This window comes from Homo sapiens, chromosome 9, assembly GCF_000001405.40.
Source record: "Homo sapiens chromosome 9, GRCh38.p14 Primary Assembly".
NCBI classification, from domain to species: Eukaryota; Metazoa; Chordata; class Mammalia; order Primates; family Hominidae; genus Homo; species Homo sapiens.
Window position 1 is genome coordinate 94827436 of NC_000009.12, and position 21482 is coordinate 94848917.

The window sequence follows — 21482 nt, forward strand, 5'->3', positions numbered from 1 at the left end:
TCTAAAATGTTTGTTGTCTTGGGTGAGTGTATGGGAAGAAATTCATAAGAGAATGTTCCATATTTGGTTTCTTCTCTAACTTATCATGAGGACATAGACTGTCTTTTCTTCCTACACATTTCCTTACACTGATAGTGTACTAAGATGACCCTTTTAAAATTTATATGGGAACTGTTTAGAGGCTCCTACCGCATGTTTTCAGGGCTGGAACTGTGGAGTGATCTTTTCCTGACCTGACTGGTCTTTGTCCAAATAGGACATTGAGCAAGCCAGAAACCAGGCCCCAGCAGAAAAAAGCAAATAGAGATAAATAGTTATCCTCGTCCCAGTGGGATCCCTAGGCTTTCAAGATCAAAGGCCTACTTTGTGTGTGCCTGTTCATAAGCCAGAGAGAGGGGTACAGAAGTAGGCAGGCTGTAGTGTAGACTCTGGTGCCCAGGCTGTTTAACTCTCAGATTCTCTAGTGATATTATTTAAAAAGATTCCCATTTATAAAAATCAGAAATATAACTTGCATTTCCCGGACACAGAATAAGAACAAGGGAGAGAACCAGATGAGAACAGAGAAAAAAAGAAGAGGAGAAGTAATGGCAAAGAAAGGACCAGAGGCAGAAGGCGAGGGAAGCAGGGAGGAGGAGCAGTGGTTGTGGTCAGCACGGGGAATATTTTTATAGGAGGCGTGGAGGAGAATGCTGCGATAGATGTTTATTTCTCCCACCCTGTGGGCTGGCTTCATTTTCTTGATAGTGTCCTCTGACGCACAGAAGTCTTTATATTTGATGAAGCCCAATTTATCTACTTTGTTCTTTAGTTTCTTGTGCTTTTGGTGTCATATTTAAGAATTCATTGCCTATTCCAAAGTCACAAAGATTTCTCCCTGTGTTTTCTGCTAAGAGTGATTTATTTATTATGATTTTAGCTCTTATATTTAGGTCTTTGATCCATTTTAAGTTGATTTTTGTGTAAGGTGTGAGGAGGGGTGTTTTGCCTGTGGATATCTACTTATCCCAGATTTTTATTATTTAATTCATCAAATGTATATTATGTACATATTAAATGCCAGACATTGTGCTGGACGCCAGGGATAGAATAGTCACCAAAACAGTCATCAGTGTCATAGTGTCTCAGGACCTGGGGGCAAAGACAGCATTTCAAGAAATTTGAGAAGGTAGACTTTTGGAGGAATTCAGCTCTTGAGCAGAGTTTTTCAAAAAGTGTAATATGAGGAAAACTGCATAGAATTACCTGGATTGCCTGTTAAAAAAGCAAACAGACCAATTATACACATATACACACACAATATATATATATACACACACACAATATATATATATAAATCACATACTTTAGTTATATAATAAACACATTATTTATATATATTTCTTATTATATGTATTTCTTACATAATTTCTCACATCTTATTTGTATTTCTTCTTACTGTTTTTTTTTTTGAGATGGAGGCTTGCTCTGTTGTCCAGGCTGGAGTGCAGTGGCCCAATCTCGACTCACTGCAACCTCTGCCTCCCGGGTTCAGGTGATTCTCCTGCCTCAGCCTCCCAAGTAGCTGGGATTACAGGCGCGGGGCACCACACCTGGCTAATTTTTGTATTTTTATTAGAGGCGGGGTTTCACCATGTTGGCCAGGCTAGTCTCGAACTCCTGACCTCAAGTGATCTGCCCGCCTTGGCCTCCCAAAGTGCTGGAATTACAGGCATGAGCCACTGTGCCTGGCCACTAAGTTTCAAGATATAAACCAGTTTACACACACACACACACACGCACACGCACACACACACATAATTACATATAATAAATACATATAAAAAAGCTAGCTAGGCCTGTTTATTATTTCCTCTTAGATGATTATCAAATACCTATTTATTTTCAATGTGGAAAAATTTCAGGCCTTTTCTGTGGCCTTAAAAGTTTGAGATCCAAAGAAGTGAAGCCATTGTCTAACCACATACCCAACTGCAGTTGTGGAAGTCATTCTTCCAAAAGCATCTTGACAAAGAAATGTTTTGATGGGAAACATGATATATCTCTGGAAAGAGAAGTAAGAAACTTTTCTCCCTTTCTTAAGTTGGATGTACTTCACAAAACAAACAGGCCACGCCCATGATGCCAGGGTACGGGGCAGTTTCCCTCAGCAGCTGGCTGCAGCTGCTTTTTCTACCGAAATTCTCTGTTTCATAAAAGCTCCCACAAAACACCCTTGTGAGTCCCCTCCACTCACCCTGGCCACATGTCAGATATGTTCACCCTGGCCACATGTCAGATATGTTAACCCTGGGGAGAATCCAATACCCCATTACACCTATATTTCCTTTGCCATTCACTCCCTGAATAGGGAGGGAACAAATGCCTTGACTCTAGCTCTCTTGGCATTTGGAGCAATTGGTGGTTTAGTTACCATCTGACGTCATGACTACAGGTGGCCCAAGGGAGTTCTGTGAAGGAGAAACACAATGACATATTCACACCTATCTCTGTGCTTTGCCTGCATGATCTAAGGGTTCATGTGTGTGAAAGAACAAAATTAGGAGAGTGACTGCATGAACTACATCAGGTGTTTAATTTTTATTATTTATTTATTTATGTATTTATTCAACTTTTAAGTTCTAGGGTACATGTGCAGGATGTGCAGGTTTGTTACATAGGTAAACGTGTGCCATGGTGGTTTACTGCACAGATCAACCCATCACCTAGGTATTAAGCCCAGCATGCATTAACTATTCTCCCTGATGCTCTCCCTCTCCCTGCTCCCCGTGACAGACTCCAGTGTGTGTGGTTTCCCCACCATGTGTCCATATCTTCTCATCATTCAACTTTCACTTATAAGTGAGAACATGTGGTGTTTGGTTTTCTGTTCCTGTGTTGGTTTGCTGATGATAATGGCTTCCAGCTCCATCCATGTCCCTGCAAAGGACATGATCTTGTTTATTTTATGCCTGCATAGTATTCCATGGTGTATATGTACCACATTTTCTTTATCCAGCTTATCTTTCATGGACATCTGGGTTGATTTCATGTCTTTGCTATTGTGAATAGTGCTGCAATGAACATACACATGCATGTATCTTTATAATAAAATGATTTATATTCCTTTGGGTATATACCCTGTAATGGTATTGCTTACATCCTATTTGGGTCGAATGGTATTTCTGCTTCTGGATCTTTGAGGAATGGCCACACTGTCTTCCACGATGGTTGAAATAATTTACACTCTCACCAAGTGTAAAAGCATTCTTTTTTTCTTTGCAACCTTGCCAGCATCTGTTGTTTCTTGACTTTTCAATAATTGCCATTTTGACTGGTATGAGATGGTATCTTGTTGTGGTTTTGATTTGCATTTCTCTAATGACCAGTGATGTTGAGCTTTTTTTCATGTTTGTTGGCTGCACAGATGTCCTCTCTTGAGAAGTGTCTGTTCATGTCCTTCACCCACTTTTTAATGGGGTTGTTTATTTTTTTCTTGTAAATTTGTTTAAGTTCCTTGTAGATTCTGGATATTAGACCTTTGTCAGATGGATAGATTGCAAAATTTTTTTCCCATTCTTTACGTTGTGTGTTTACTCTGTTGATAGTTTATTTTTCTGTACAGAAGCTCCTTAGTTTAATTAGATCCCGTATATCAGTTTTTGCTTTTGTTGCAATTGCTTTTGGCATTTTTGTCATGAAATCTTTGCCTGTGCCTGTGCCCTGAATGGTATTGCCTTGATTTTCTTCTAGGATTTTTATAGTTTTGGGTTTTACATTTAAGTCTTTAACCCATCTTATGTTAATTTTTTTATAAGATGTTAAGGAAGGGGTTCCAGTTTCAATTTTCTGCATATGGGTAGCCAGTTCTCCCAGCACCATTTATTAAATAGGGAATCCTTTCCCCATTGCTTGTTTTTGTCAGGTTTGCCAAAGGTCAAATGGTTGTAGGTGTGTGGTCTTATTTCCGAGTTATCTGTTCTGTTCTATTGGTCTGTGTGTCTGTTTTTGTACAAGTACCATGCTGTTTTGGTTACTGTAGCCTTGTAGTGTAGTTTGAAGTTGGGTAGTGGGATGCTCCCAGCTTTCTTCCTTTTGCTTAGGATTGTCTTGGCTATATAGGCTCTTTTTTGGTTTCATATGAATTTTAAAATAGTTATTTCTAATTCTGTGAAGAATGTCAGTGGTAGTTGAATGAAAACAGCATTGAATCTATAAATTACTTTGGTCAGTATGGCCATCTTCACAATATTGATTCTTCCTATCCATGATCATGGAATGTTTTTCCATTTGTTTGTGTCTTCTCTGATTTCCTTGAGCAGGGTTTTGTAGTTCTTCTTGAATGAACTCTTATTCCCAAGTGCTACAAAGAGAAAAAATACCTGGAAATACAGCTAACAAGGGAAGTGAAGGATTTCCTCAAGGAGAACTACAAACCACTGCTCAAGGAAATCAGAGAGGACACAAACAAAGGTGTTTAATTTTTAAAATGAGAGGTGGACTGCTTCCATTAAGTGAACTGACTGGACAGGAGGCTGCTTTTGTATATTCTCCAAGGGACTGAAGGGGAAAAGGTGATGATCATTAAAAATGTTGTGTTGAGCCAATGGGTGAATTTATTTTTAATCTGAAAGTGGAGAAAACTTCTGGTTTTAAAACCCAGAACCAATAGAAGGAAAGATTGATATATTAGACACATGAATACAAAATATTTTTGCATGTAAAAAAGCAAAACAAATGACTCATTGGGAAAAAATATTCCTAATTTATAACACAGACAAATATGAGCTTCTGAAAACAGAATAGAAAAAACAACAGTCATATAGAAAAATGAGCTAGAGATAAGAACAAACAGTTCACAGGAAAAGAGATGCAACTGTCTCTTAAATTTATGAAAAGATGTTCAACTTTTCTTATCATAGGAGAAATACAAATTAAAACTTCACTGAGATATCATTTCTTACCTATGAGGTTGGCAGACATCCAAGAGTTTGACAACGTACTCTCTTGGAGTTGCAGGGGAAGCGTCAATGCAGGGGGCTTCACCTCCATGGGAAGGAGTTTACAGTATCTAGCAAAACAAGATAGACTTTGACTCCAAATCTTATGAATTTATTCTAAGGATACATTGGCAAAAATGTGAAAATATGCACATATACACACAGTTGTTTTTTGGCATAGCAAAAGACTAGAAACAACCCAGATGCCCATCAGTTTGTGCCAGTTTAAAGAAACTGGGATATCCACACAATGCAGCACTATAGCTATAAAAATGAATGTTCACTATCTCTAAGACTGTGGTAATCTTCAGGATGTCTTGTTAAGTAAAAAGAGCAAGGTGGAGTTTATTCAATATGTTAAATGTCAATTCCATTGGACTTTTATAAAAACAATGGAAATTTAAATGATAAAAAAATTTTAAGTGGTTACCTATAGTAGAAGAAAGCGGGGGAAAAGGTCGGGGGTACAGATAGTAAGAGTTAGACTTCTCCTCAGTATACTTTGCTTTGTAAATTTGATTTTTTTTTTTTTTTTTGGTGACAGAGTCTCGCTCTGTTGCCCAGGCGGGAGTGCAGTGGCACATGATCTCTGCTCACTGCAGACTCCGCCTCCTGGGTTCAAGCGATTCTGCTGCCTCAGCCTCCTGAGCAGCTGGGATTATAGGTGCGTGCCACCATGCCCTGCTAATTTTTGTGTTTTGAGTAGAGATGGGGTTTCACCATGTTGGCCAGGCTGGTCTTGAACTCCTGACCTAAAGTGATCCACCCGCCTCTGCCTCCCAAACTGCTAGGATTACAAGCATGAGCCACCACACCCGTCCTTTTTTTTTTTTTTTTTTTTTGAGATGGAGTTTTGCTCGTTTTCCACACTGGAGTGCAATGGCATGATCTCAGCTCACGGCAACCTTTGCCTCCTAGGTTCAAGTGATTCTCCTGCCTCAGCCTCCCAAGTAGCTGGGATTACAGGTGTGTGCCACCACACTCAGCTAATTTTGTATTTTTAGTAGAGACAGAGTTTCACTGTGTTGGTCAGGCTGGTCTTGAACTCCTGACCTCAGGTGATGCACCCGCCTTAGCCTCCCAAAGTGCTGGGATTACAGGTGTGAGCCACCGCGCCTGGCTGTGCCTGAAGTTTCTTACACCAGGAAGCAAAGAAGCTACTGAAGATTATTAGAGCCACAACCAAGGGACTCAGGAACCAAATTGAAGTTTCTACTGGGACAATTTGAGCATTAATAAGATAACTGCAATGGTTTGAAACGCATCAAGTCCATGAGTTCATAATAATAAAAATAAACTTGTATCATTGGCCACCTTTTAAGGATACCAGGGAATTAACTCATTATTTTGAAAACTGGTAAATAAAGAGACTCAGGCATTTATTTTGTCTTCCTGTATACAGCATCTCAGCATAAATCGTTGAGAAGGGGAGTTTGTCTTTATAGAATGTAGCTAATAAATTAAGTAATGGTAGAATGAGAGTATTATTTTTTGCAACTCGTAAATCATTAATGGATCTAGGCAATGATCATTTTGTGTTTCCTAATGGGAGTACATAACAACCCTGTTGAAATACTCTTGCCCAGGTTGCCCAAGTTACACCAACCTGAATCTGATCAAGCCCCGAGATCTGATTACCAGCTTACAGGAAGTAAAGAGGACAGAGAAACAAATTAAATGACACTACCGGAATACAGAGGATAGAAATATCTGATAGGCAATCAGGAATATCTGCTTACCAATTTACAGGAAGTACAGAGGAACAAATTAAATGATACCACAGGAGTACAGTGAGCAAAATCCAGGCAATCTTAGGCTCTGTAAGATAAACAACGTGGTTTCTTCAAAAGATACATTGCAAGGAAAAGAGAGAGAGATTGGGAGAACTGAAAAGAAATTTAGAGAAATACCAACCAATTACAGCGTGTGGGCCTTATTTAGATCCCAATTTGGATGAACCAAATATAAACAAACATTTATGAGCTTATCAAGAAGTTGAACACTGACTGGATAGTTAGTGATATTAAGGAATTATTATATTATTTAAGGTACAAGAATGGTATTGTGGTTTTGTTTAAAAAAGAGTCTTTGTTTAAAAAAGAGCCTGGTGGCTCATGCCTGTAATCCTGGCACTTTGGGAGTCTGAGGCAGGTGAATCGCTTGAGGCCAGTAGTTCCAGATCATTGTGGGTAACATGGCGAAACCTTTTCTCTACTAAAAATCAAAAAATTAGCCCACTGTGGTGACGTGCACCTGTAGTCCCAGCTACTCGGGAGGCTGAGGCAGGAGAATCGCTTGAACCTGGGAGGCAGAGGCTGCAGTGAACAGAGATTGCACCATTGCACTTCAGCCTGGGCAACAGAGCGAGACTGTCTCTAAATGCATGCATGCATGCATGCATACATACATACATACATACATACATACATACATACATACAAACAATAAAACAAAAAAGATTTTTTATCTTTTAGAGCTATATACCGAAATATTTTTTTGAGGGAGACAAACTCTGTTGTTAGATTGAAGTAATTCAAATGTCAGAATGGGAAATTTATACTTCATCTGAGAGACATTGAATAATCCTTATGGGTACCTGAGAAAGGAAGAGGCATGGTAATAGGATAAGGAGTGTAGAGTGTCGAAGTAGACCCACACATGTATGGTCATTTGCTTTTCAACAGAAATGCTAAGTTATTTCATAGGGGGAAAGGACAGTCTTTTCGGGGTATTGTTTTGGAATAACTTTCCCTTCCCCCCATTAGTGCATTTCATTGTGCGTAAGTGGGCAGAATAGATTGGTTGGACAAGAGTCTAGCTAGGGGAGGCCACCACAGGATGTACAGGAGTAATTTTTTCCCCAAAACAATGAGTACTTTGACTCTGTACTAAGGATAGATGTGGTCAAGGTTTTGCTTTGGCTCATCTGTTGTCCGACCTGTGATCCCCCTGGTCTGTCTCTTCCTAACCTTGGCCAGTATTTTCTTTTATTCTGCATATCACTAGAAACAGAACAGTGGGGAGAATCTAGTGATGGATGGAAAGGGATACAGAAAATTTGCAACCATCAAATAATAACCTCTATTTTTTTCTCCTTTAAAAGAAGTTGAACTTGCTCTCATTGTCTCAAACTGGTTTCCTGCACGTCCCAGTGACTTAAATTAGTACAAGGGTGCAAGGCCTTTCTGAGAAATGCATTGAGACTCCTGTTTATGTTGAAATCTTGCTCTGTCTCTTTCTGTTTAAACCAGACCAGAGCAAAGACTTTAACAGCTTATAGGCAAATGCCTGAACGGTTTTTCTTTTTGCTTCAGTTGAAGTGGTATCTATGCAAAATTCCAAAGAGTGGGTGAGTGGAGGGAGTGCAGTAGGGCCAAGGTATTTCTTTATTATGGCTGTTCCCAGTGTCTCTTCCAGACCATGGTTCAAAGGCTCCTTTGATCAACTGATTGATGTTTCAGTGGGTTTTCTAGATTCTTCTACCGCTCTTTGTTTTTGTCTTTGTTCTATCCCTATACCTCTCCATACCTCTAACCCAAATCACTAGTCAATCCCTAAGCAAGGGATCTTGAGGTCTGAGGTGCAGTGGTACAGGGTAGGGATGCTTACCTACAGAAGAAAGGACCTTGATCAGATTGCCTGAATTTGGTTGATTTTTGTTTCCTGCTTGTGTGTGTGTGTGTGTGTGTGTATACACGTGTACAAGCACATGCACCTTTTCCAAGGAAAATGTAATTGCCATGTAACTTAAGACATACATAGAGCTCCTATAAACAGTCATAGCACAGGCTTTTGTGTGAACATAAATTTTTACTTCTCTAGAGTAAATATCTGGGAGAGGGATTGCTGGATCATATGGTATGTATATATTTAAGAAATTTCCTAGCAAATTGGCTTTATAATACTGCATTCCTATCAGCAGTGAGCAAGAGTTTTCCTTGCTCTGCATCCTGGCTAGTGCTTGGTATTATTAGTTTTTAAAATTTTAGTCATTCTATTAGGTATTTAGGGGTATCTCATTGTAGTTTCTCATTGTGTTTCCCTAATAGTTAATGATATTGAACATTTCTTCATATGCTTACTTTCTTTGGCATCATATCTGTTCAGGTCATTTATGCACATTATTAATTGGGTTGTTTTCTTGCTGTTGAGTTTTGAGAGTTCCATTATGTATTTTAGATAGAATCCTTTGTCAGATGTATGATTTGCAAATATTTTCTCCCAGCCTGTAGCTTGCCTTTTCATTCCTTTAACAGTATCTCTCATAGAGCAAGTAATTTCAGTTTTGATGAAGTACAATTTATCAATCTTTTCTTTCATAGATTGTGGTTTTGGTGTTATGGGTAGGAATTCTTTGTCTAACTCCAGATCACAGAGATTTTCTACTATGTTTTTACAAAAATGTTACAGTTGTATGCTTTATAATTAGAACTAATGTCATTTTGAGATAAATATTTTGTATGGTGCGAGGATTAGTTCAAGGTTCATTTTTTTTGCCTATGCTTGTCTAATTATTTTTTAAAAAAATTTTTTATGAATTTTAAATGAAACAAAAGCTGGTTCTTTGAAAAGATAAAAAAATTGATAGACCATTAGCAAGATTAACCAAGAAAAGAAGAGAGAAGATCCAAATAGGCTCAATTAGAAATGAAATGGGAGATGTTACAACCAACACCACAGAAATACAAAAGATCATTCAAGGCTACTGTGAACACCTTAACACACATAAACTAGAAAACAGAGGAGATGGATAAATTCCTAGGAATATACAACTCTCCTAGCTTCAATCAGGAAGAATTAGAAACTCTGAACAGAACAATAACAAGCAGTGAGATTGAAATGGTAATAAAAAAAATTACCAACAAAAAAAGTCCAGGACTGGACAGATTCACAGCCGAACTCTATCAGACTTCAAAGAAGAATTGGTACCAATCCTAGTGACATTATTCCACAATACAAAAAAAGAGGGAATCCTCTCTGCATGATTCTATGAAGCCAGTATCACCCTAATACCAAAACCAGGAAAGGACATAACAAAAAAAGATATTGATCTGTAGTTCAGTATCCCTGATGAACATAGATAGAAAAATCCTTAACAGAATACTGGCTAACTGAATCCAATGGCATATCAGAAAGATAATCCACCATGGTCAAGCGGGTTTCATACCAGTAATGCAAGGATGGTTTAACATACGCAAGTCAATAAATGTGATACACTATATAAACAGAATTAAAAACAAAAATCACATGATCATCTCAATAGATGCAGAATAAGCATTTGACAAAATCCAGCATTCATTTGTGATTAAAACTCTCAACAAAATTGGCATACGAGGGACATACCCCAATGTAAATAAAAGCCATCTATGACAAACCCACAGCCGACGTAATACTGAATGAGAAAAAGTTGAAAGCTTTCTCTCTGAGAACTGAAATAAGATAAGGATGCCCACTCTCACCACTTCTATTCAGCATAGTACTGGAAGTTCTGGTCATAGCAATCAGACAAGGGAATGAAATAAAGGTCATCCAAATTGGTAAAGAGGAAATCAAATTGTCACTGTTTGCTGATGACATGATTGTATATCTAGAAAACCCAGTAATTTTTTTTTTTGACGGAGTCTTGCTCTGTCTCCCAGGCTGGAGTGCAGTGGTGCAGTCTCGGCTCACTGCAAGCCCCGCCTCCTGGGTTCACGCCATTCTCCTGCCTCAGCCTCCCGAGTAGCTGGGACTACAGGCACCCGCCACCCATGCCTGGCTCATTTTTTGTATTTTTAGTAGAGATGGGGTTTCACTGCATTAGCCAGGCTGGTCTTGATCTCCTGACCTTGTGATCTGCCTGCCTCGGCCTCCCAAATTGGTGGGTTACAGGCGTGAGCCACTGTGCCTGGCCAAAAAACCCAATAATGTTTTAACATTATTTGTTGAAACACTACTCTTTCTCCATTGAATTGCCTTAGCATCTTTATCAAAAATCAGTGACCATGCTTGTGTGGGTCTATTTCTGGATGTTTTCATCTCTTCCATTGATTTCTGTCTCTCTCTTCTATAATAACACATCTGATTTGATCACTGAAGCTTTCTAGTAAATCTCAATATTGGCTGATTTGATTCCTCCAACTTTATTGTTCTTTTAAAAATTGTTTTGTTCTGGGTCTTTTGCCTTTTCATATAAATTTTAGAATTCACTTGTGTATATCTACCAAAAAATTATGCTGGGATTTGGTTCAGATTTTCATTAAATCTTGAGATAAATTTGGAAAGAGTTGACATCTTGACCATGGTTATTCCCAGTGTCTCTTCCAGATGATGGTTCTTACTTTGAATCTTTTGATCCACAAATATGTTTCTCCATTTATTTAGAGGTTCTATTGTTTTTCTCATCAGTGTTTTGTAATTTACAACATAGAGGTCCTGTATGTATTTTACCAGATTGATACCTAAGTATTTCACTTTTTTTGGAATTACTATAATTAATCACTATAAATGCTATTCTTTTTTTTTTTTTTTTTTTTTGAGATGGAATCTCACTCTGTGCCAGGCTGGAGTGCAGTGGCGCAATCTCGGCTCACTGCAACCGCTGCCTCCTGGGTTCAAGCTGTTTTCCTGCCTCAGCCTCCCGAGTAGGTGGGACTACAGGCGTGCGCCACCACACCCACCTAATTTTTGTATTCTTTTTTTTTTTTTTTGAGAGGGAGTCTCACTCTGTCACTCAGGCTGGAGTGCAGTGGCGCGATTTCGGCTCACTGAAAGCCCTGCCTCCCGGGTTCACGCCATTCTCCTGCCTCAGCCTCCCGAGTAGGTGGGACTACAGGCGCCCACCACCACACCCGGCTAATTTTTTGTATTTTTTTTTGGTAGAGACGGGGTTTCACATGTTAGCCAGGTTGGTCTCGATCTCCTGACCATGTGATCCGCCCACCTCGGCCTCCCAAAGTGGCTGGGATTATAGGCGTGAGCCAACCCGCCCAGCCTAATTTTTGTATTCTTACTAGAGATGGGGTTTCACTATGTTGGCCAGGATGGTCTTGATCTCTTGACCTCATGATCTGCCCATCTCAGCCTCCCAAAGTGCTGGGATTACAGCTGTGAGCCACTACACCCGGCCTATAAGTGGTATTCTTTTTGTATTTTAGTTTCATTTTCATAACTAGTATATAGAAATATGATTCATTTTGTGGGTGATTTGTATCCAGTCATTTTATTTCTCATTTATTCTGTGAGTCAGTGAATAGGGACAGTTTTATTTGTTTCTTTCTAATCTATATGACTTTTTCTTTTTCCTGCCTTATTGCACTCTTAGGACTTACAATATGATGTGGACAGGAGTGGTAAGAGTGGACATCTTTTTCTTCTTCCTGATCTTTTTTTTGAGACAGGGTCTCACTCTGTCGCTCAGGCTGGAGTGCAGTGGTACAATGATAGCTCACTACAGTGTCAACCTCCTGGGCCCCATTGATCCTCCCACCTCAGCTTCCCAAGTAGCTGGTGCTATAAGCACCCCACCACACCTGGCTAACATTTTAAATTTTTTGTAGAATTGGTGCCTTGCTATGTTGTCCAAGCTGATCTTGAACTCCTGGGCTTAAGCAATCTTCCTGTGTTGGCCTCTCAAAGTGCTGGGATTACAGGTGTGAGCCACCTCGTCTGGCCTCTTTTTCTTCATCTTATTGAGAAAGTGTTTGATCTGTCACCATTAAGTATGACATGAGCTGTAGGTTTTTGTAAATGTCCTTTCCAGGTTGAGGACAGTCCCTTCTACTCCTAATTCACTGAGAAATTTTATCATGAATGGGTGTTGAGTTTTGTTAGATGCTTTTTCTGTATTAATTGACAGGATCTATGATTTTTCTTTTTTAGGCTGTCAATATGTTGGATTACAGTGGTTGATTTTCAAATATTGAACCAGCTTTCCATTGCCATGATAAAATCACATTTGATTCTGATGTATTATTCTTCTTATATATTGTTGGATTTAATTTGCTAATATTTTGTTGAGTATTTTTGCATCTGTGTTCATGAGGGATATTGGCCTGCAGTTTTCTTTTCCTGTACTCTTGACTGGTGTTAATATCAGGGTAATTCTGGCCTTATAAACTGAGTTTGGAAGTATTCCCTTCTAGAAGAGAATGTTTTCTGGAAGAGATTGTGTAGAATTGGTATTATTTCTTCTTTAAATGTTTGATATAATTCACATGTGAAACCTGGGCCTAGAGATTTCCTTTTCAGAAGGTTTTTAACTACAGATTTAATTTCATTAAATTTCTAGGACTATTTATGCTGTCTCTTTCATCCTGGGAGAGTTTTGGAAGTTTATAGTATTCATGCATTTTTTTTTTAATCTAAGTTGTTGAATTTATCTGTATAGAGTTGTTCATTGTATTCCCCATTTTTTTAAATGTCTTCATGGTTTTTAGTGATGATTTCATTCCTGATGTTGGTAAGTTGTTCTTTTTCTCTTTGTTTCTTTGTCCATCTGGCTAGAGGTTTGTCACTTTTATTGATCTTTTCAAAGAATCATCTTTTGGTTTCATTGATTTTTCTCTGTTGTTTTTCTTGCTTACAGTTTAATAGATTCCTGATCTTACTTTTATTATTTCCTTCCTCTACTTGCTTTGGAATTTATTTTGCCCTTCTTTTTCCAGTTTCTTAAGGTAGCAACTTAGCTTATTGATTTGAGACCTTTGTTCTATTGTAACAAGCACTGAATGACATAAATCTCCTTTAAGCACTGCTTTAGCTGTGCTCCACACAATTTTTTTTTTTTTTTTTTTTGAGACGGAGTCTCACTCTGTCGCCCAGGCTAGATTGCAATGGTGCGATCTCAGCTTACTGCAGGCTCCCCCTCCTGCGTTCAAGTAACTCTCCTGCCTCAGCCTCCTGAGTAGCTGGGACTACAGGCGTGTGCCACGATGCTTGGCTAATTTTTTTGTATTTTTAGTAGAGATGGGGTTTCACCGTGTTATCCAGGCTGGTCTTGAACTCCTAACCTCAGGTGATCCGCCTGCCTTGGCCTCCCAAAGTGCTGGGATTACAGATGTGAGCCAACGTGCCTGGCCACTCCACACATTTTGATACATTATGTTCCGTTTTTATTCACTTTGATGCCTTCTAATTTTCTTTGGGACTTTCTCTTTGATCCATGGACTGTTTAGATGTGTGTTGTTTGAGTTGCAGTTGTTGGGAGATGCTCCTATTACCTTTCTATTATTGATTTTTAGTTAATTCACTTACGTCAAAGGACACTTTTTTTGTGATTTAAATTATTTTCTTTTTTTAATTTAAGAGTTTTGTCTCAGGATATGGTGTATCTTGGTGAATGTTCCATGTGTACTTTAAAAGAATATCTACTCCTAGCTGGGCACAGTGACTCACACCTGTAATCCCAACATTTTGGGAGGTCAAGGCAGGAGGACTGCTTGAACCCAGGAGTTTGAGACCAGCCAGGGCAACAAAGCGAGACCCTGTCTCTACAAAAATTTTTAAAAATTAGCTGCGTGTGGTGGCACATGCCTGTGGTCCCAGCTACTTAGGAGGCTGAGGTGAGAGGATCACTTGAGCCTAGGAGTTCAAGGCTGCAATGAGCTATGGTTGTGCCGCTGAACTCCAGCTTGGGTGACAGAGCAAGACCTTGTCTCTAAAAAACAAACAAAAAGAAAACAAGAAGCCAGGTGTGGTGTCTCACACCTGTAATCCCAGCACTTCGGGAGGCCTAGGTGGGAGGATCACTTGAGGTCAGGAGTTCGAGACCAGCCTGGTCAACATGGTGAAACCCTGTGTCTACTAAAAATACAAAAATTAGCTGGGCATGATGGCGTGCACCTGTAGTCCCAGCTACTCGGGAGGCTGAGGCAGGAGAATTGCTTGAACCTGGGAGGCAGAGTTTGCAGTGAGCCGAGATTGTGCCACTTACTCCAGCTTGGGGGACAAAGCGAGACTCCGTCTTACAAAAAAAGAAAAACAACAACAAACAAACAAAATAAAACCAAAACTAAGTTTATAAAAAAGAATGTCTGTTCTGCTGTTATTGGATGGAGTTGTCTATCCAAGGCTCTCCTTCCCCTTTCCCTCTATGTTATAGTTGTCTTATATATTACATTTGCAAAGATTGAAAATCTCATCAGACAATCCTATGTTTGCTTTCAATTGTCAAACACATTTTAAATAACTGAATAACAGAAAGATAATCTACTTACCCAGATATTTACCATTTCTGTTCTTTCTTCATTTCTGATGTTTGAGGTTTCTTTGTGGTTTCATTTTCCTTTTATTTAAAGAATTTTCTTTAGAAATTATTTTAGAGCAAGATTTGTTGACAAGAAATTATCTCAATTTACATTCATTTGACAATATCTTTATTTCACCATCTCAATAAAAATTAATAAAAATAAAAAATAAAAACATTATGTTTTTTCCTTTGGCCTCCAAAGTTTTTATTTTGAAATCCACCATCATTCAAATTATTCTTCCCTTATAAGTAGTAGAAGGATTTCTGTGACTGTTTTCAAGAATTTTTACTTTGTCTTTAGTTCTCAGTATTTAATTATGATTTGTCTTGGAATTGACTTCTTTATTGTTTAAGCTTTGCTCATCTTCTTAGGTATGTAAGTTTATGTATTTTGCCAATTTTGTGGGGTTTTTGACTCTATGTCTTCAAATATTTTCTTCTGTACTACAGCCTTTCTCTCTCTCTGGGACTCTAACGACACAAATATTAGACCTTTTAGTATTGGTTCACTCAGCAGAAACGCTGATCTCTCTCCCATCCAGATTCCTCCGTGCTCCAGGGTTTCTCAGGCCTCGGCACTTTTCACATCTTGTTTCCCTTACCTAGCCTCCCCTTCCTGTTTCCCCACCCCACTTTCCTGCTGCCTAGCAAGCTTCTACTCATCCTTGAAAATCCACTTCAGGAATGTCATGCTTTGTGGCCTGTCTTTGATCACCTAGAGTGAGTTAATTCCAGCCTCCAACCCTTGTAGAGTCCGTGTGTGCTTATTGACCTTTTTGTACTTTAGTTTGCTGGGTCTGTGTCAGTGTCTCTGAGCCTTGGTTCTCAGGAGCTCAGGTCTACTGTGTCTTATTATGTCCTCAGTGCTGGGCACAGTGTCTGGCATCTAGAATAGGCTCAACCAGAGGCTGAGCAGTCAGTTTGCTATTATTACCATATGGCTTCTTCAGCCTCCTGGATAGGTTGAGGACCAGATATAGAATGCCCATGAGCCTTTGAAACCAAGTTTTTAGTGGATATTAAACTCATTCCATTTAACCCAACTCGCTTTTTATCTCATCTATTATTGCTCTAATGATTTTGCCTCTTGAATACCCCATTACTATTCAGAAAGGAAAAGATTGTACTGTTTCATTGTTTTTTCTCTCATAATCCAAACTATAGTATTTGCACTTGACTTTTGGTTTCCCTCAAATATACCTTCCCATCATCTCATGTATGCCTTGGTGTTATTTTTTAAGTTATTGCTATCTTTTTGTTGGTAAGTTATTTAAAGATATTGCTATCTTTTATTTTTAAATTTAGGTAAAGTTATTACTTCATCTGACTATATCTGGGCTATTTATTTTTCTCCATGGAGTTGCACAGTCATGCCTGGCATATCATTTATTTTCTTAAAGGAGGATATTTATTAGTTTTGTTCTGTTTTTTTGAGGCAGAGTCTCCCTCTGTCGCCCAGCTGGAGTACAATGATGCGATCTCGGCTCACTGCAACCTCCATCTCCCAGGTTCAACTGATTCTTATTCTTCAGCCCCACGAGTAGCTGGGATTACAGGCACTCACCACCATGCCCAGCTAATTTTTCTGCTTTTGGTAAAGATGGGGTTTCACCATGTTGGCCAGGCTGGTCACTAACTAGTAGTTTTAATTTTTGAGAAGCCCCCCATACCCTTTTAAGAAAAAAAGGCAAAAAATCCAATTACTTTGAAAAGAAATTTGTAATTGATACATAATATTGTACATATTTATGTGGTACAATGTGATGTTTCAGTGCATGTATACATAGTATAATGGTCAAATCGGAGTAATTATCATGTCCATCACTTTAAGCATTTGTCATTTCTTTGTGGTGACAACATTCAAAATCTTCTCTTAAAGTTATCTTGAAATATATACTACATTGTTACTTGCTGTAGTCACCCTACTGTATAGTGGAACCCAGAACTTACTCTTCCAGTCTAACTGTAACTGTGTACCCACTGACCAACCTTTCCTGTCCTTCCTCCCCATGCTGGCATATTATTTAAATCCACAGACACATATCGAATAGCCACTTTGTGCCAGAAACTCTTGACACTGGGGTACCAGACAAATCCAAAATCTGTGCCCTGGAAGAACTCATAGTCTCAGGGGGCAGATGGTCTGTTCCTAGGGTTGCTGTGAGACTGGAGCAGGCCGGATGTGGGCTGTCCGTGGGAGTGGGGTTCAGGTGGGATGGTATGGTACCTGTGAGGCCAGGGTACAAGTTACCTGAGTGAGTGCTTTGTGGAAATAGAAAAGTGACCATTTCAGAAAAAAAAGATGAAGTCCAAGAATTTAATTATTCATTCAATCAATTAACAAATATTTATGGAACACCTACTATGTGCAAGCACTATTCCAGGTGCTCAGAACAAAGCCCATTGCATATGGAACTTGAGTTCTGCTAGGGGAGACAAATAGGCAGATGCATGAATATTTAATATGTTCTTAGGTAATGAAAGCACTATGAAGAGAAATAAAGCAGAGAAAGGAAACTTGGGAATAAGGAACCCTGCTGGTTTCTGTGGGATGTTCAGGTGGGACTTTAGGAAACTGTGGTATTCCAGCACAGACAAGACACAGAGTCAGGTGGGGCAGAGCCCCCGAGGTGGGAAGCACTTTGCAAGCTGGGAGAACTGCAGGAAGGCCAGGCTGCTGGTGTTGAATGAACGAGGGAAAAAATGGTAGGAAGTAAAACTGGAGAAGTTGCTGAGGACCCAATTCCACGGGGCCTTACAGGGTTTTTATTCTGAGCAATTGTGGGGAGCCATTTGAAGGTTTTAAGTAAGGAGTAACACGATTTGAGGTGTGCCTTGAAAAGATCATGCTGGGTGGATACCCGTTTTGGGGGAACGGGACAGGAAAGGGGCAGGGAAGAGCAGACATACAAGTTAAAAAGCTAATAGAGAAATCTACATGCGAGATAATGGTAGCTTGGACTAGGGTTGGTAACAGTGAGAAGTGTTCAAATTTGGGATATTTTGAAGAGCTGTTGGGATTTTGGAGTGGTTTGTGTCTAAGATGTGAGAGAAAAAGAGGTCAAGAACAATTTCAAGATTTGGTGCCATTTGTTGAGGGAGGGCTGGGCAGGGGAAGAATAAGGTTGTAGGAGAAAATCAAGGTTGGTTTTAAATGTATTGAGTCTGGGCCGGGTGCAGTGGCTCACGCCTGTAATTTCAGCACTTTGGGAGGCCAAGGTGGGGGTGGATCACCTGAGGTCAGGAGTTCGAGACCAGCCTGGCCAACATTGCAAAACTCCATCTCTATTAAAAATACAAGAATTAGTCAGGCGTGGTGTCGGGTGCCTGTAACCCCAGCTACTGGGGAGGCTGAAGCAGGAGAATCACATGAACCTGGGAGGTGGAGGTTGCAGTGAGCTGAGATGGCGCCATTGCACTCCAGCCTGGGCGATGAGAGCGAGACTCCATCTTAAAAAAAAAAAAAAAATTTGAGTCTGAAATGGCTAGTGGAAATACAGCTGGAGTTCATGAGGCAGCCCATGACTAGAGATCTGAATTTGCGGAGCCTTCAGGATACAGATGGTATTTGACGTCATGAAACTGGAGAAGCACAACGTGGAAGGAGGTGGAAAGAAGATCAGTGGTGTGCGGACTGAGCTGTGGTGTCAGGAATATCAGCTGCTGAGAAGTGGAAGTTATGAGGACTGAGGGTGGACTGTGGGATTTGGTTCAGTGGGGGTCACTGGTGACCTGGAAGAAGGCAATTGTGATAGAATATTGGGAAAAGAAGTTTAACTGGAGTGAGTTGAGAGAAGGTGGGGCAAGAAAGTTGAGACATCAAGTACAGGCAGCTCTTTCAGGGAGTCCTACTGTAAAATTAAAGAAATAGGGAAATTGCTGGAGAAGGATGTGAAGCCAAGTGAGGATGTTTTAAGGGAACAGTCTATCAGAGCACATTTGTGTGCTGAAGAGAATAACCTGGGCAAAGAGAAAGAAGCTGGCTGGGCATGGTGGCTCACGCCCGTAATCCTAGCACTTTCCAAGGCCGAGGTGGTGGGAGGATTGCTTGAACCCAGGAGTTCAAGATCATCTTGGAAAACAAAGTGAGACTCCATCTTTACAAAAATTTTAAAAAGTTAGCTTGCGATGGTGGTGTGTACATGTGTTCTCAGCTACTTGGGAGGCTCAGGTGTGAGGATCACTTCAGCCCAGAAGGTTGAGGCTGCAGTGAGCCAGGGATGGCGCCACTGCTCTCCAGCCTGGGTGACAGAGCAAGACTCTGTCTCTGAATGAATGAATGAATGAATGAAGCTGATGAGAATGGAGCGGATAGTGGATGATTGCAGTGACCATATTTATTGAGGTGGTGGGAGGGTGGGGATCTACAATAGGAGTAAAGTGGGTCTTTGATGAGCACACAGAAGGTTTACCCACTATCAAAGATGGGGAGGCACATGTGGAGGTGGCTGCAGGGAGGTTGGTAGATTTGGTGGTTCCCTTTGTACACACACACACACACACACACACACTCTCTCTGTCTCTCTCTCTCTCTCTCTGTCTCTGTCTCTCTCTCTCTCTCCACACATCCCCACCCTCCCACCATGCCTGCAGTGCAGGGTACAAGGAGGAAATGATGGGCTGTGAAGCTGGAAGGGTGGGTGGGGAATGGATATTGTGGAGAAGCTCTTCCATTCACCTAAGGAGTTTGGATCTCATTCTTGGGCAGAGGGGAGCCCTGGTGGCTAGTAATTATGGGAAGAGCCTGATCTTCTGTGGGATGTGGAGGCAGCAGGAACTCCAGTGGGGCAGGGCTGGTTGGGAAAACCTGGGGCACAGAGGCTGCTGCCAGGGCCAGGTGAACTCTACTTCTTTATTCTGTCAATACGTTGTTAACACGTACTTTTCTGAAATTGAATAGATTCTTATAGATGATTGAAGAAAATCAAATTAATTCAAGTAGTCATGAAGCAGAACTATGTTAGCTGCCAGGCAAGCAGCTGATTTCCTTTAATAAGATGAATCATTAATGGGTTGGGAGATTTAGGCCTTCGTGTGCAGTAAGGGAGGAAACAGATATGAGTGGGAGAAAATGTGAGGTATTTTGGAACCACAACAATCCTGTTAGTTACTCTTAATACCCTTAGACCTTCTGTAGGCACTGTTGATATCTTTTAACAGATGAAGGAGGAGAGTCCAGGGCATTTCAGTCACTGCTCATAGCACCCAGAAAATCAGTTGGTAGACCTAGGATTTAAATGGTGTTCTTGAATTTCTAGTTCTTTACTTGGTCCTTGGACTGAAGCAAAGTGAGAAATCTTGGCGATAAACCACCTGCAGGACTGGGGACATATCACTTAGGCTTTAATGTTCAGGTCCACACTATTTCACAAAATTTCTACAATCTAAAGTGGGGATTACTTGGCTACCAGCATCAGGGGAAATGTGACACTGCAGTTACTTATTAGATTCTCATTTTAAGGCCCTCTGTGGAAGAGAGGATCTCACCAGCATATACTTGGTTAATAAGTAAAACATGGATCTTGGGCCAGTGCAGTGGCTCACACCTGTAATCCATCCCAGCACTTTGGGAGGCCAAGGCGGGCGGGTCACAAGGTCAGGAGGTCGAGACCATCCTGGCTAACACGGTGAAACCCCATCTGTACTAAAAATACAAAAAATTAGCAGGGCATGGTGGCAGGTGCCTAGAGTCCCAGCTACTCAGGAGGCTGAGGCAGGAGAATGGCATGAACCCGGGAGGCGGATCTTGTAGTGAGCTGAGATTACACCACTGCACTCCAGCCTGGGCGACGGAGCGAGACTCCGTCTCAAAAAAAAAAAAAAAAAAAAAATTAGCCAGGCATGGTGGTGCATGCTGTAGTCCCAGCTACTTGGGAGGCTGAAGCAGGAGAATCGCTTGAACCCGGGAGGCAGAAGTTGCAGTGAGCCAAGATCACGCCACTGCACCCCAGCCTGGGTGACAGAGGGAGATTCCCACTCAAACAAACAAACAAACAAACAAACCAAAAACAAAAAAACAAAAAAAAAACATGGAGCTTGACTCGGAGATGGTTGTAACTGCTGCACTTCCTCTCCTGTGAATGCCCTACCAAGCTAATAGCCCAGGTAAAAGGGGAAAGCATTATTATAGTGAAGTCTAAACATTTTATTTTGTTTTATTTTTTGAGATGGAGTTTCGCCCTTGTCACCCAGGCTGGAGTGCAATGGCACTGCAGCCTCCACTTCCTGGGTTCAAGCGATTCTCCTGCCTCAGCCTCCCACGTAGCTGGGATTAC

General features: G+C 40.5%; 1 protein-coding gene across 51 annotated transcripts in view; it reads left to right on the forward strand.

The window, feature by feature from the left end:
* AOPEP (aminopeptidase O (putative)) overlaps window positions 1–21482 on the forward strand; it is a 423526-nt gene that overhangs the window by 100737 nt on the left and 301307 nt on the right. The window lies entirely within an intron of this gene.